We start from the raw sequence: 16,193 nt of genomic DNA, 5'->3' as shown, positions 1-16,193 counted from the left end.
TCTTTGTTTTGCTTTAAACTGAGCTCACCACTATGGCCAAGGTTCTGATATAGATCTTGATTTGCCAAAGTCCCTGTTGGTCCAGGACTTGGCACATGCTATTCCTCTGCCTAGCTACCTAGACTGCTCTCCCACCCATCTCATCCTCCACCCCTAGTGTATTCATCTGTTCTCTTGCTGCTAATAAAGATATTCCTGAGACTGGGTAATTTATAAAGGAAAGAAGTTTAATGGACTCACAGTTCCACATGGCTGGGGAGGCCTCACAATCATGGCAAAAGGTGAAAGAGGAGCAAAGTCACATCTTACATGGTGGCAGGCAAGAGAGCATGTGCAGGAGAGCTCCCCTTTATAAAATCATCAAATTTTTTAAGACTTATTCACTATCATGAGAACAGCACAGGAAAACCTGCACCCATGAGTCAATTACCTCCCACCGGGTCCCTCCCATGACACATGGGGATTATGGGAGCTACAATTCAAGATGAGATTTGAATGGGGACACAGCCAAACCATATCACCTGGTAAAGCTCTAATCATTTTTCAGAAGACAGTTGAAGGATACCTTCTTCATGGAAGTCTTCCCTGATATCTGGCCCTGACCTGATTCCTCCACTATGTGCTGTCTCAGACTAGCTTCCTGTTTCTTCAGAACCCCTCAGTTTGCAGTAATTCACATGTTCATTAGCATAATTATTTTTTCAATGTCTGTCATTCCCACTTGAAAGTAAACTATACCAGAGCCCAGACCATAGTTGTTTTGTTCACTATTGTATCCTCGTGCCTAGCCAGTGCCTGGCACATATTTTTTTGTTCAATAAATATTTGTTGAAAGGATCCATTAATATTTGAATATTCATATTTGAATGAATGAATGAACATCAAGGTTCATCCTAATTTGATAATCTGGAAATTTTCCATATAAAATAGTGCTTAAAACTGGTAGAAACCAATATGAATCCTCCAGGCTTGTTGTGGTTTGGAGTCAAATAACCTTCATCACCCAAGAGTATAGATACCAAACATGCTGCATACATTTATCCACCATCTGTGAATATAGTGTAGAGGTTAAGATCACAGTTTCTAGAGTCAGTGGCCTGGTCAAATATTTACTGTGTGACCATTGACCAGTTAATGAGCAGCTCTGTTTCCCCATCAGATAATAGGACTTTTAATAGTACATATCTCAAGAGGTTGTTGGGAGAATCAAGTTAATACAAATAAATCACAAAGCTTGGCACATGGCCACAGTGTATGGGATCAATAAATGTTAATTATTGTTATTATTACTATTAATTTTTGTGTATAGAATCCTTGGTACTGTAGGATATGTAGGATGCAATGATAAATCAGGCAAGATATTGCCCTTCAAGAGCTTGTTAAGTAGGTGAATGCGTAAGTGTGATGGTTAATTTTATATATCAACTTGACTGGGCCACAAATTAAACATTCCTTCTGGATGTGTCTGTGAAAGTGTTTCCAGATGAGATCCACGTTAATCCCAGCACTTTGAGAGGTCAAGGTGAAAGGATAACTTGAGCCCAAGAGTTCAAGACCAGCCTAGACAAGATATTAAGATCTCCATCTCAGAAATAGGAACACTTTTACACTGCTGGTGGGACTGTAAACTAGTTCAACCATTGTGGAAGACAGTGTGGCGATTCCTCAGGGACCTAGAACTAGAAATACCATTTGACCCAGTCATCCCATTACTGGGTATATACCCAAAGGATTATAAATCATGCTGCTATAAAGACACATGCACACGTATGTTTATTGCGGCACTACTCACAACAGCAAAGACTTGGAACCAACCCAAATGTCCAATGATGATAGACTGGATTAAGAAAATGTGGCACATATACACCATGGAATACTCTGCAGCCACAAAAAAGGATGAGTTCATGTCCTTTGTAGGGACATGGATGAAGTTGGGAACCATCATTCTCAGCAAACTATCGCAAGGACAAAAAGCTAAACACTGCATGTTCTCACTCATAGGTGGGAATTGAACAATGAGAACACGTGGACACAGGAAGGGGAACATCACACACCGGGGCCTGTTGTGGGGTGCGGGGAGGGATAGCATTAGGAGATATCCCATCCCTAATGTAATGATGAGTTAATGGGTGCAGCACACCAACATGGCACATATATACATATGTAACGAACCTGCACGTTGTGCACATGTACCCTAGAACTTAAAGTATAATTAAAAAAAAAAAAATATATATATATATATATGTATGTATATATAAAGATCTCCATCTCAACAAAAAATGATTTTAAAAAAATCAGCTGGATGTGGTGGCTCACAACTGTAGTCTCAGCTACTTGGGAGGCTGAAGAGGGAGGATCACCGGAGCCTGAGAGGTTGAGGTTGCAGTGAGCCATGGTCATGTCACTGCACTGCAGCCTCGACGATAGAGCAAGACCTTGTCTAAAAAAAGCAAAATAAAACATTTAAATCCATGGGCTTAATAATGTACATCACCCTCCCTAATATGGGTGGGCACTATCCAATCTTTGAGGGCTTGAATGGAAGAAAAAGTGGAAGAAGGAGGAATTTGCCTCCTTTCCCCTGCTTTTTTTTCTGTCTCACTGTTGGAGCTGAAATGTTTCATCCCATCTTCTATTGCCCTTAGACTGAAATACCCACCATCAGTTCTCCTGGTTCTCAGGCCTTTTGACTTGAACTGATTGCACAATTGGCTTTCCTGGGTCTACAGCTTGTGGATGGTAGATCATGGGACTTCTCGGCCTCCATAATTATATAAGCCAGTTCCTCATAAGAAATATATATGTGTGTGTGTCTATATATATATAGATAGATACACACACAGATTAAATATATATATATATATATATATATATATATATATATATATATATATATATACAGTAGAGATGAAACAAGAGTGCTAGGAGAATTCAGAGGAGGGAGTAAAGTCCATCCAAGGTTGAATCTTCTGTGGGCATCAGATCAAAGACAAGCTCCCTCAAGGCTGCAGTGAACCATGATCACGCCACTGCACTCTAGCCTGGGCAACAGAGTAAGACTTTGTCTCATTAAATAAATAAATAAATAACTCCAGTATGGTTTAAACAGCAAGATATATCTTGTTTACATTTCAATCACCTCAAACAGATGCTCTTAAAAAAATTAGACAAATTCCCCACCAACCCGGTTAACCACTCTAGCTCATTTGTGCTGTAGCCACAGCAAGAGGAAGCCACAGCTCTGTGCGCATTTTGGAAGGATTCCCACAAAGTAGAGACAATCTCTATGCAGGTTCTCCTGAAAGCTGGCCAAGGAACGTAAACATCAGACTCTGGACAATCCTATTCCCTATACCCGTAGTATTCTGCTGTTCAGCCTGATAGAAATGAAGGACCACTCTTTATCTCATTTGGGAGCAGCAATTATCTGCCAGAATAAGATCACACCAGAGAACATGATTATTACCTAATAAAACATCTTTCCCAATGCAACATTTATCATGACTGAGTAATTTTATGAACCGCTTAGAGAAGTATCACTTCCTTCACCCCAGTAGGAGTCTGTGTATACATTTTCTCTTTCAGTATAGTAATTATCAACAATCATCAAAAGGCCATTGTCATAGAATATTGTTTATAGACAGATTAGCCCCATCAGGCCTTTCTCTGAAATATCCACCATCACCGTCATCATCCTCACCTCCACCTCCCCCCAACATCTTTCTTCCCCCATTGTAGAAAGGCCTGTTAATTCAGGCCTTCAAAAAGTTTACCACACTTCAGTTCTCAGAGTAGATCAACAAAGCAGCATGTGTCAAATGGCGGACAGAAAGGAAAGTCGATCAAATCCAAACACAGCACCATTTAGACTTTAATACACTTATCCACAGTATCTCAAACAAGCATAAAGGAAAATAAGCAGTCTTTGCGATCCATAACTTTCCTGGCTGATAGACTTAAACCACCTTAAATGGAAGACTTGGGATGCTTTTCTACAGTTCTGAGATTAAATAGAATGCATGTATTTAAACAAATAAAATAAAATTGAGAATTCTTGCCTAAGGCCTTTCATGAACTAACTTCCATGCATTAAATGAACTCATTCTTGTATGCAGTCATTCATTTATCAAAATTGTATTGAGGACTTGCTTGTGCTGGTTAGTGTCTAGAGGCAGGGGATACAGCAGAGATCCAGGCAGACACATTTCCTCACTTATAGAAAGGGAGATGGACCAGAAACAAGCAAACAAATACACATGGCACTTGCAGACTTTCTAAGTGTTATCAAGAAATAAGTGGGATGGAATAAGAAGAATAACCTGAAAAGGGAGGGAAGGGGAATAGAAGGGGAAGCTAGAAAAGAGAGAGTAGCCAGTTAAGGCCTCTGTAAGAACATGATGTTTCAGCATGAACCATGCAGAGTGACCTACACAGAGGGAACAAATACAGAAGTTCAGATACGGACAAAAGCTTAACGTGTTAATAATACAGAAAGGGGACTCTAACAATGTCATGCGGTAGTGTGAGGAGGTTGGAGTACTGAGATAAAGTTGTAAGATATGCTAGATTGTGTTTGGATTTTATTTTTAAAATTATTGAAACACCACATACAAAAGTTATCTCAAAATGGGTCAAAGACCTAAATGTAGCAACCAAAACTATAAAACTCTTAGAAGAAAACAATGGGGTAAAGCTTCATGACATTAGATTTGGCAGTGGTTTCTTGGCTATGACACCAAAAGCACTGGCACCAGAAGAAAAAGTAGATAAATTGAACTTCATCAAAATTTGAAGGTTTTATGCATCAACCATACACTATCAACAGAGTAAAAACACAACCCACAGAATAGGAGAAAATATTTGTGAATCATATATCTGATAAGCAGCTTATATCCACAATATGGAAAGAACTCCTAAAACTCAACAAGAAAAAAAGTCCAATTCGTAAATAGGCAAAGGACTTGAATAAATATTTCCCCAAAGAAGACATACAAATGGCCAATAAGCACAAGAAAAGGTCCTCAACATCACTAATCACTACGGAAATGCAAATGAAGACCACAATGAGATATCACTTCATCCATTAGCATGGCTACTATTTCAAAACAAACAGAAAATAACAAGTGTTGGTGAGGATGTGGAGAAATCGGAGCCCTTGTGCCATTGATGGGCAGGAATAAAAAAGTGGTACGGCCACTGTGGACAAATGTATGGTGGTTCTTCAAAAAATTAAACATGGGCTTGATCTAGCATTTCACTTCCTGGTAGGCACCAAAAAGAACTGAAAGCAAGGGCTCAAACAGATACTTGTACACCAGTGTTCCAGCAGCGTTACTCACCAGAGCCAAGGGGTGGAAACAACCCAAATGTCCATCAGCAGATAAATGGATAAACAAAATGCGGTATACATGTACAATGGAAAATTACTCAACCTTAAAAAGAATGAAATTTTGACACATGCTACCACATGGATGAACCTAGAAACATTATGCTAAGTGTAACAAAGCAAATACAAAAGGACAACAGTATATATCTACTTATTTTAGTTACCTAGAATAGGCAAATTTATAGAGACAGAAAGTAGAATGGTGGCTGCCAGGGGCTATGGAAAGGGGAAAATTAGAAGTTGTTTATTGGGTATAGAGTTTCAGTTTGGTAGGACAAGAAAGTTCTGGAGATGGATGGTGTTAATGGTTGCACAAAAACGTGAATGTCCTTAATGCCACTGAATTACACACTTAAAAATTCGATATTTTAAGCAAGGCATGGTGGCACAAGTCTGTAGTCCCAGCTATTTAGGAGGCTGAGGTAGGAGGATTGCTTGAGTGCATGAGTTCAAATCCAGCCTTGGGCAACATAGCAAGACCCTGTCTCAAAAAAATGTGTTATTAAAAATGGTAAATGTTATCTTATATATATTTTGGTACAATAAAAAAGTTATTGGAAGGTATTGAAAAGTTTTAAGCAGGGAATTTTCATAAGTTGTCTTACCTTTTTAAAGATCATTTATGAAGATCATTTATTTGTTTTATGAAGAATAGATATTTTTCACAGGTGGGGAAACAAGATAGAAACAGAAGAACAAGCTGTTCCATGTTAGAAACAAAGGGTTAGTGACAGTGCAGAGTGCATATGGAGTCAAGTGGCCAGATTTGAGATTTTGGATGTAGAGCTACAAAGCTAGAGGATGGACCTGATGTGGGGTGTAAGTAAAAGAATGAAACAAGAATGACACTCAGGTTCTTTGCTGGAGCAATTGAGTGGCACCATTAAAAAGACAGGAGAGGACTGGGCGTGGTGGCTCACACCTGTAACCCCAGCACTTTGGGAGGCCAGGCAGGTGGATCACGAGGTCAGGAGACCGAGACCATCCTGACTAACACAGTGAAACCCTGTCTCTACTAAAAATATAAAAATTAGCCAGGCATGGTTGCGGGTGCCTGTAATCCCAGCTACTCGGGAGGCTGAGGCAGGAGAATCACTTGAATCTGGGAGGCACAGGTTGCAGTGAGGCAAGATCACACCACTGCACTCCAGCCTGGGTGACAGAGCAAGACTCTGTCTCAAAAAAAAATAAAAAGAAAAGAAAGAAAAAATAAAAAGACAGGAGACTCCAGCCAGGGGTGTTTGCTATTCCTTCTGCCTGGATGTTCTTCTCACAAATCTTGGACTCTTTTTTTTAAGATAGGGTCTTGCTCTGTCGCCAAGGCTGGAGTGCAGTGGCGTGATCTCGGCTCACTGCAACCTCCGTCTCTCTGTTTCAGCAGTTCTCCTGCTTCAGCCTCCCGAGTAGCTGGGACGACAAGCACACGCCACCACAACCAGCTAATTTTTGTATTTTTGTAGAGATGGAATTTCGCCATGTTGGCCAGGCTGGTCTTGAACTCCTGGGCTCAAGTGATCCACCCCCCCTTGGCCTTCCAAAGTGCTGGGATTACAGGTGTGAGCCATGGTGCCGGGTCCTTCTCACAAATCTTAATATGTATTTCTCTCTATTATTTAAGTCCTTGCTTAAACACTGCTGCTTCAAAACAGCCTTCCTTGACTACCCTAATCACTCCCCACTATACTCCCAATCCCTCTCTAGTCCCCAAACCCCACACATTCTCCCCATAGCACATCATCAAAAGGATACCATGGTTGTTTGTTTTACATGATTATTTGTGTTTACTCTCCCCACTAGAATATACAAAGGAAGGGACTTTGTCTTCTTCACCTATGCACCCACAGGGCAATAAACATCTGTTTCTTGAATGAATAAATGAGTGCAGTTGGAGGGAGGTCTAAGAATTTGCTGGTAGAAATACAAAGGAGGCCCACTCTTTCCTTGGTCATTTTTCACCCCAAGTTATTGGCTGAGAATTTGTTTGTTTGGGGGTTTTTCTAATTGTAAATTAACAATTTATAACTGTACATATTTATGGAGAACAAAATGATGTTATGATTCACGAATGCCATACGGAAGAATTAAATCAAGCTAATTAACATTTCTATCACCTCAAATACTTATCGCGTTTTGTGGTGAGAACATTTGAAATTTACTGTCTTAACAATTTTGAAATGTACAATACACTATTGTTAACTATATTTACCACTCAGTGCAATAGATCTCAGAAAACACCCTTATTCCTCCTGTCTAGCTGAGATTTTGTACCCATCACCTTCCCACTCCCCCCACAGCCTCCGAAATCACCATTCTACAGCACAGAATTAGTTTGTAAGAGAGGTACATTAAGAGAGAGGAAAGTGAAAGTATAAAAAAGGATTTTGAAGAATGGAAAACTAGAATTGTGTGAAATTAAGTCACCACTTGAGTTTTGTGGTTCCAAATTCAAAGCGAATTTATTCAACAAATATTTGAGTGCCTGCTCTGGGTCAGACCCTGTGCTCTGCTGGTGATTTAACAAGAGAGAAGTCTACCCAAGGGATTTGACTTTATATCACCAAACTTGACCGTGTCATGGGGAGTGTCCTTTCTCCCCAACACCTAGAAAATATGCCAACAGCAGCAACAGGAGTCGAGTTTACATGAGTTCAACTCTCATTTTCAAATTACCTATAAGATGCAAAACATGTATTCAGGACTCTAGGATTACAGAATTATATAATTATACCATATAATACATGCCACTTTCCTCATGGATATTATACTGCAAACTACTTAGGGAAGCCCAATATCTAGATAAGCCAATCTGCATGACCTCCAACTTGAGTCCTTGAACACCAGGGTAAGTTGAGCTAAGACTATTGGGTAAACTCCATCTGTGGATATTCATTGAACTAGTCTTTTGACTTCCTTTTAGCAAGAGTTTTATTTTCTATTTGAAATTGCCCTTCCCCAGGCTCTGATTAGGACTGCACAGGAGAGGAGCCCATGCAGAGGATATGGCCTCTATAGGAAGCACGTTGTAAGAAATAGAAAACTCAACATAAACTGCAGGCACAATTAAAAAGTCCAGAGATGGCCAGGTGCGGTGGCTCACGCCTGTAATCCCAACACTTCAGGAGGCTGAGGTGGGTGGATCACGAGGTCAGGAGATGGAGACCATCCTGGCTAACACGGTGAAATCCCGTCTCTACTAAAAATACAAAAAAATTAGCTGGGTATGGTGGCAGGCGCCTGTAGTCCCAGCTACTCGGGAGGCTGAGGCTGGAGAATGGCGTGAACCCGGGAGGCAGAGCTTGCAGTGAGCAGAGATCGCTCCACTGCACTCCAGCCTGAGCGACAGAGCGAGACTCTGTCTCAAAATAAAAAAAGAAAAAAGAAAAAAAACAGTCCAGAGATGCCATACTTTCTAAAGGCTGTTAAAAAGAAAAACAATAATTTAAAAAATCCAGAGATAGAGTAAAAATCAAATGCTATTTGATCAGGACTCAGGACTCCAGCACAATCTTGGCAGTTATCTCCATTCCTCTGTGACATTTCTTACCTATGTCACCCTCAAGGGTGTGTTACCTTCATCCTCAAGCTAGACATCTTTGAGACAAGACGGATATACATGGAGGCATCAGTCCCAGGCCTCCTATCTCCACCTCGTTCCATTTAGGAGGACAAGAAACTCCACATGGTTCCATTTAGGAGGACAAGAAACTTATTTCTCTCACCATCAATTCTTACACTTTAATTGGCCAAAGTTAGCTCTCATATCCTCTTGGAACTAACCGGTGAGACCAGGACACTGTAAGGGGCTGACTCTCATCGGTTTAGAACTAGGAAGGGATTCTCTAAGACAGTCACCATGGAAACATGGATGGGATTCTGCTGATTGGTTTAAGACATTGAGGACCCACCCCTCCCCACTTTTGGCAGAGGGTGGAGGTGTCAGGAGTCAATCTTACCCATAAATATTGGGGTTAGGAAGCAGGAAGGGGAAGATTTTGCCAGAAAGGAAAGTAACAACATACACCACAGAAAAGCTCTGAAAGGGGCTGTGAAATAGGCAATTTTATAGACCTCTCTTCAGACTTTTCAGTTTCCTCTGACACTGGAAAGCTTCAGACTCATTCACTAAAGTAAGGCAATAATGTGGTGAGAGACTTCTGGGGAAATGAATCAGTGCCTGTAAAGCATTTTGTAAGAATGACCTACTAAACAGTAAGAGTGTAATCACTGGAATGCTTCATACCCGCACTAACTCTGCAGCCTGCCTGAGCTCAGGATGACTCTGCTACTGTTACTCTGGCAGCCGTCCTCCTCGCCAAGATTTGTTATGATGGGACCAGCTGAGCCTAGAGGGTTCTTCAGCTCCTCATTCTTCTCTACGACACTTATTACCTATTTCATAGCCCCCTCAACATCAAAAGAAAGGAAATGGGAGGAAGCTGAGCAGTCATGGAATCTGGCCACCTCCTTGCGGCCCCGTCTTAGCACAAATCTAAACACCTTTGCAGGAATGGGGTAGACCCCCTTCCATTGGTTCAGTATCTCTCATCACTCCTTTCTCGGAAGGGAGCAAGTTCATACCTACCTGCCTATCAGCTGCCTGCTTCTTATCATGGAGATGTCAGGGAGGACACTTGATATGGATCAGACCACTGGTTTGGATGTCAACCCAACTGAGTTCTACATGGGGCCATTCTGCAGTGTCTACTGTGTGACCTTAGTCCTCATCTTTCTGAGTGTCAGTTCCTTCTCTGCAAAATTGGTTAATGTTGCCCTGTCATGTCTTAAGGTTTTAGGTTTCTATGAGCCAAGAGAAACTTCCCCAGTAGAAAAGTCTCAATCTTAGTTCAAAATTTAAAAGACATTCTGTCTTAGTTGAGTGCCCTCCAGGAAACAGACCCTGAGATGAAGATTTGTATGAGGAAGTTTGTGGGAAGTGCTCTTAGAATCAACACTCATGCAGAAGGGAAAGAAACAGGATTGGGAAAGGGAGGAGTTAAATTGCAGTGCAATCTTAATGAAGGCCTCAGTCATCATCACACAGAGGGCAGGAGAGCTGGGATGGCCGTTCAGAGTCCCACTTGAGGCAAGGAGCCTGTGTTTTATTCCCATCCCCCATCATCAAGTCCCCAGTTACAGCTTCCTCCAGTGGCAGAGACCTGACCCTGGGTGAAGAGGTTTTCTTCAACTATTGACAATTGCTCCGGAAGGACTCAGTGGTGAACTTTCAATAGCCAACACCCCCATAAATCAGGGCATTTGAATGTCTCCATCCTGAGGGGGGATTTTGGGATCTGGGTGTTGGACCACAGCACCCACTGCATGTTCTACCCCTAAATCCTCTGGGTAGGGGGACCGAGGCAACCAGAGCCATGTCTCTTCCCTTCCCAGTTTCTGTCCCCATATCATGACACAAGGTATCCATTTTTTCCTCTGGGGACTTACTGAAGGAAAAACTATCCCTGGAGTCCTCCTCACTTAGCTTTCCTCTGATGGTGTGAGTGAGCGTAAGTCAATTCTGCAAACAGTCCTCAGAGGAAAGCCAGGCTCCTTGGCGTTGCAGAGGATGTTACTTTGACCCCGGTGAGCTAATGCACTCCCTTTTAAAGGGCATTTTAATTTATCTGCCAGAAAAAGGAATTTGATGCATTGAATGTTATCTTTATGAACAGCTCTATCCTGAAATATCTTCATAACAGTTAATAACACCTAGTGAGATATTATTAGCATTTCCTTAATTTATACCCATGGGAGCTAGAGACCAGCAACCTTTTTCTGATGGGGTCCTATGTTTGAAAAACTCTAGTGAGAAAGAAACAGTCTTTACAAATGGAAATAACCTGGCTGGCTTAGACATTTATTTTCTTTTACCTACCGTTTTCCTCTGACTTAATTAATTATCTTAGAGTATGCTTTTCTTGTATTCCTGTCCTTTGGTTTTGAGCAAAAGGTACATCTTAAAAATATCTAATCAATAAGGAAGATGCAACCCCATTACGCTTCACTACCTTTAATAGAATCTATTTTAAACTTGGACTTCCTGGAACTAAGATATCCAATGGCTTATCAGAAACAATCAGACATTTCGAATAAAGTATATTTACAGGTCCACAGCTGCCTCTTTGGATGCAAATTTATACACAGCCATCCTAGGAACTCTGTTAAAGCTAGCCCACCTGAGATGACATCCTCACTGAAATAGAATCATCCTATCGTGGTTATTCAGGAAGAAGCAAATAGAGACAGAGCCTCAAAAATAATTGTGGCTAGAATCCATCAGGGGTTTAGGAGAATCCAACTTTCCAAATATAACTCCATGATAGAAGACATTTTCCTGGTTGAAAAAATGCTCACTCTTACTAATCAATTGTAAAAATTTTACTGAAAGTTCATTTTATGCCCAATAATGCTGGCATAAAAATATTTTCTGAAATTTACAGTCTCACTGGGGAGAACAGACTAGCACATGAAATAATTAAAGCACAATTAAATCTGAAGTCCTGGAAGTTTAGTGGTAGTTCAGGGAGGGGAGGGCTCCACCACTGCAGGCTGATGTAGATATGAAAGCTTTCACAAGGGGTTAGGAGCAAAGCCTTTGAAAGTCCCAGTTGAACTGCAGAAATATTTTCTGGGAGGGGCAGTGTTTTATGTGCTCATTACTTTTTAATGTCTTATCTATAAATTATTGATTAGACTGCTGAACACTGAGCTGTACTTGAAAGCAATAGTCAGGTGAGTTCGAAGAAGGAGGACTCGGGGAAGGTCTGAGAGCTGGTGGCACCACTTGCGGGAGGGTAGGCCTGGGTAAGAGTCCCAGTGTCTGCAAGAGGGTATTGACAGTCAAGGTGGATAAAGAGACATAAGGAAGAAAAGAGGCAACCAGGAGAGGAAGTTTCCCCAAAACAATTTGTCCCTGCTCTAAATTTCAGGGCCACGCTTGCTGACCCACTGCGTTAGTCTGTTTTGTGTTGCTAAAGTAATACCTGAAGCTGGGCAATTTATAAAGAAAAAAAGGTTTATGTGGCTCATGGTTCTGACGGTTGGAAAGTTCAAGATTGGGCATCTGCATCTAGTGAGGGTGGGCCTTAGGCTGCTTCCACTCATGGTAGAAGGTGGAGGGGAGCTGCAAAGTGGTACAGAGATCAGATAGCAAGGGGGAAGGTTCCAGGCTCTTTTAAACAATCAGCTCCGGCAAGAAGTAATAGAGTGAGAACTCACTCACCCCCACAGGAAAGGCATTAACCTATCCGTGACCAGCTCCATCATCCAAACACCTCCCACCAGGTTCCACCTCCAACCTTGGGGACTGAATTTCAAGATGAGGTGTGCAGGAGACAAACATTGAAACCATTGCACCGACCATTGAGAATTAAAAGAGGGGGAAGTATTTTGGCCCCTCTGGTCATTTCAAATAACCCCTTGTCCTGGGGCACAGTTACTATCTGCAGGGGTTCTTTTATGTTCCCATCCCTTTTTGCTTATTCTCAGCCTTTAAAGGGAGGGGTAGGGAGAGATTTAAAGGATACCAAATTATCGCTAGATAGAAGGAATAAATGCTAGTACTTTATAGCACTGCAGGATGACTACAGTTAACAATAATATATTACTTAGTTTCTGGCCAGGCACAGTGGTTCACGCCTGTCATTCCAGCACTTCGGGAGACCGAGGCAGGCAGATCACCTGAGGTCAGGAGTTTGAGACTGGCCTGGCCAACATGGTGAAAGCCTATCTCTACTAAAAATACAAAAATTAGCTGGGTGTGGTAGCACATGCCTGTAATCCCAGCTACTTGCGAGGCTGAGGCAGGAGAATTGTTGAACCCAGGAGACAGAGGTTGCAGTGAGCTGAGATTGCACCACTGCACTCCAGCCTGGGTGACAGAGGGAGACTCCATCTCAAAAAATCACAATAATAATAATAATTATTATTATTATATATAACATAGTTTCAAATAGCTAAAAAGAGTATACACAATGTTCGCAATACAAAGAAACAATAAATGTTTCCGATGATGGATATGTTAATTATCCTGATCACTGTACATTCTCTATAATTGAAACAACACTATGTACCCCATGAATATGTACAATTATTATTTGTCAATTGAAAAATAGGACCAGGCATGGTGGCTTACTCCTGTAATCCCAGCACTTTGGGAGGCCAAGGCAGGCAAATCATTTGAGGTCAGGAATTGAAGACGAGCCTGGACAACATGATGAAACCTCATCTCTACTAAAAATACAAAAACTAGCCAGGTGTGGTGGTGCATACCTGTAATCCCAGCTATTCGGGAGGCTGAGGCAGGAGAATTGCTTGAACCTGGGAGGTGGAGGTTACGGTAAGCTGAGATTGTGCCACTGCACTCCAGCCTGGGCAACAGAGGGAGACTCCATCTCTAAATAAATAAATAAAGCACTAGAGTACACGTGGGAAAGGCCTGAGCCACAGCAGCAGCAAACTCACTGAAGAATTCAGAGGGGAATCCTGTTAAGAGCACATAGTAGGCAATCGATAATAATAATAACCATTAATTGGGCAGGAACTGTCTGCCTGGGCCTGCTGTATGCATTTCTGTTCAGTACCTCATTTAATCTTCAAAATCCTCCACTGAGACTGGTACTGTCCCATTGTACAGATGAGAAAAGTGATGCTCCTGGAAGGTTATAGAGCCTGCCTTAGGGAAGTATCTGAATGAGCCGCATAATTCATCCACTGAAGGACTACCTCAATGAATACATCAATTACAAATGTCCCATAGGAATAAAAATTACCAAAATTATCAAGGTCTGTTAAGTGCCTAGAGTATTGACAAAGAACTTTCATATACATTACCTCTCTCTTACCACAATTTGGCAAGGAAGACATTTACTTCCTCCTTCTAATTCTCCTTCCCAGAAAGATGTGACTCTCCCATGATCTTTCAGTTTGTAAAAGCAGATTGAGGCTGGGCACACTGGCAGGGAATAGTCCTAGCTACACAGGAGGCTGAGGTGAGAGGACCGTTTGAGCCCAGGAGTTTGAGGATGCAGTGAGCCTGCGGTGAGTTGCACCAGCCCAAGTGATATAGCAGGGCTTCCTCTCTAAGAAATAAAAAAAAAATGATAAAAGAAAATAAATGACTGAAACAAGATTCAAACCCAGATGTTCCAACACCAAAGCCCCCTGTTTCCACCAAAGGCTCCAAGTCCAGGAATAGGAAGACACTGTGAGGGTTGAAGGGAAAAGACACCCTCACATGGATGAACACAGTATGACTTACAGGATTGTTGGACATTCCCGTGATGATTACTCTTTTGATTTCCTTGTATCCCATTATCTTGCATACAAAACCCTCCTTTTTCCAAAATGGATTTTTTTTTTTTTTGGTTGGGGGGAACTTTGATGGACGGAAGGGAAGGTGAACACAGTCAAAGACAGCATCTTACCCTAAAACTAGTCTTGGGCAGGAAGAAAGACTTGATCACAGTGATCTCAAGGATTAAGAGAGGTGACACCAGCAGAACGTCTGGGGTTTGGGAAAAAGAAGAAAAGGGGTCTAGGGAAACAAGAACAGACTTGAAAGGCGGCATTGGGGCTTGGCTGGTGAGAAACCTGCCTGGTCCGTGCCACTGGGGATGTTACCATGGCAGTGGGAACAAGGGCCCAGCCTCCAGCAGGAACCCAACAAAGCCAACCCTCTCTTGGAAAGACAGTGTGGAAATCATTATGATAATGCAGTTCCTTGCCAGCTTTGCCATTGGGAACACCAGGCAGATTCCCTGAGCCAGACTTTCTCTGAATGGAAGAGCTAGAGGAGTTGCTGCCATGACAACGCAGTTCCCCTGCCCATTTATACCATCGGTGAGCTGGGGGAGATCCCTGGAGGAAGTGGATCCCCACCTCCTTCACCAGGGCAGGGAAATCGCCAAGGACACACAGATGGAGAGGAGCCTTAGGGAATGTTCCCTCCAGCCTGAATGGCTGCTGGAGTTGCCATGGCAACCGGATTCCTTGCCCACCAAACCATGAAGGAGGGAGATCAGCTTCAGCTGCAGGAGCCCGCCTCTGCCGGCACAGCTCCCGGGGGCCCCCAATCTGGCAAGTTCTAGCAAGGGTGCACCTTAGGTGAGAGGCATCCCTGGGAGTGCAGCTGTTTCCTGTGGTGCCTGGAGGGACTGACTCTTAGATCCTTCCGTGAAAGGACATGCCAAGGCCGTCCAGGAGAACAAAAGACACGCCTAAGGAAGATGCATGGATGGTTGCTGTCAATCTCAACAGTGGTTTTGTCATTGGGAAGCCTTTGAATTGTATGTGTCATCCTGAGCTTTATTTTTGTCTCTGTTTTTTGTTTGTTTTGTTTGTCTTTTTGAGACAGGGTCTCACTCTGGCACCCAGGTTAGAGTGCAGTGCTGCGATCATAGATCACTGCAGCGTTGAACTCCTGGCCTCAAGCAATCCTCCTGCCTCAGCCTCCCAAGTAGCTGGGACTACAGGCACGCACCACAAAGCCTAGCTAATTATTTGTTTGTTTATTTATTTATTTATTTATTTATACAGATGAGGTTTTGCTATGTTGCCAAGGCTGATCTCAAACTCCTGGGTTCAAGCCATCCTCCCGCCTTGGCCTCCCAAAGTGCTGGGATTACAGGCATGAGCCACCAAGCAGGCCCTGTCTCTGTTCTTGGGTTCTCTTGGGTAAATCCTTTAACTAATACTAATGTATCTAATATTCAAATAGGTGGGTTTTGTCTCTTGAGGGCAAAAGAAATAGAAAGGGGAGGTGGGAGTCTCTGTGGGAGAAAACTTCTAGTAAGTTAATTTAAAAAAAAAT

The 16,193-nt window shown here is 42.3% G+C and overlaps 1 long non-coding RNA gene across 1 annotated transcript in view; it reads right to left on the bottom strand.

Annotated features, from left to right (window-relative positions):
* LINC01516 (long intergenic non-protein coding RNA 1516) overlaps positions 1 to 16,193 on the bottom strand; it is a 48,176-nt gene that overhangs the window by 20,520 nt on the left and 11,463 nt on the right. Inside the window, exons 5-6 of the long non-coding RNA NR_120649.1 lie at positions 14,809 to 14,888; positions 14,216 to 14,463 (exon numbers count right to left, since the gene is read on the bottom strand). This is a non-coding gene — a long non-coding RNA (long intergenic non-protein coding RNA 1516). The remainder of the gene's footprint in view (positions 1 to 14,215; positions 14,464 to 14,808; positions 14,889 to 16,193) is intronic.

This window comes from Homo sapiens, chromosome 10 (genome assembly GCF_000001405.40).
Source record: "Homo sapiens chromosome 10, GRCh38.p14 Primary Assembly".
NCBI lineage: Eukaryota > Metazoa > Chordata > Mammalia > Primates > Hominidae > Homo > Homo sapiens.
Note: the sequence above shows the minus strand (reverse complement) of the source record. Positions and strands in the feature narration are given on the sequence as shown.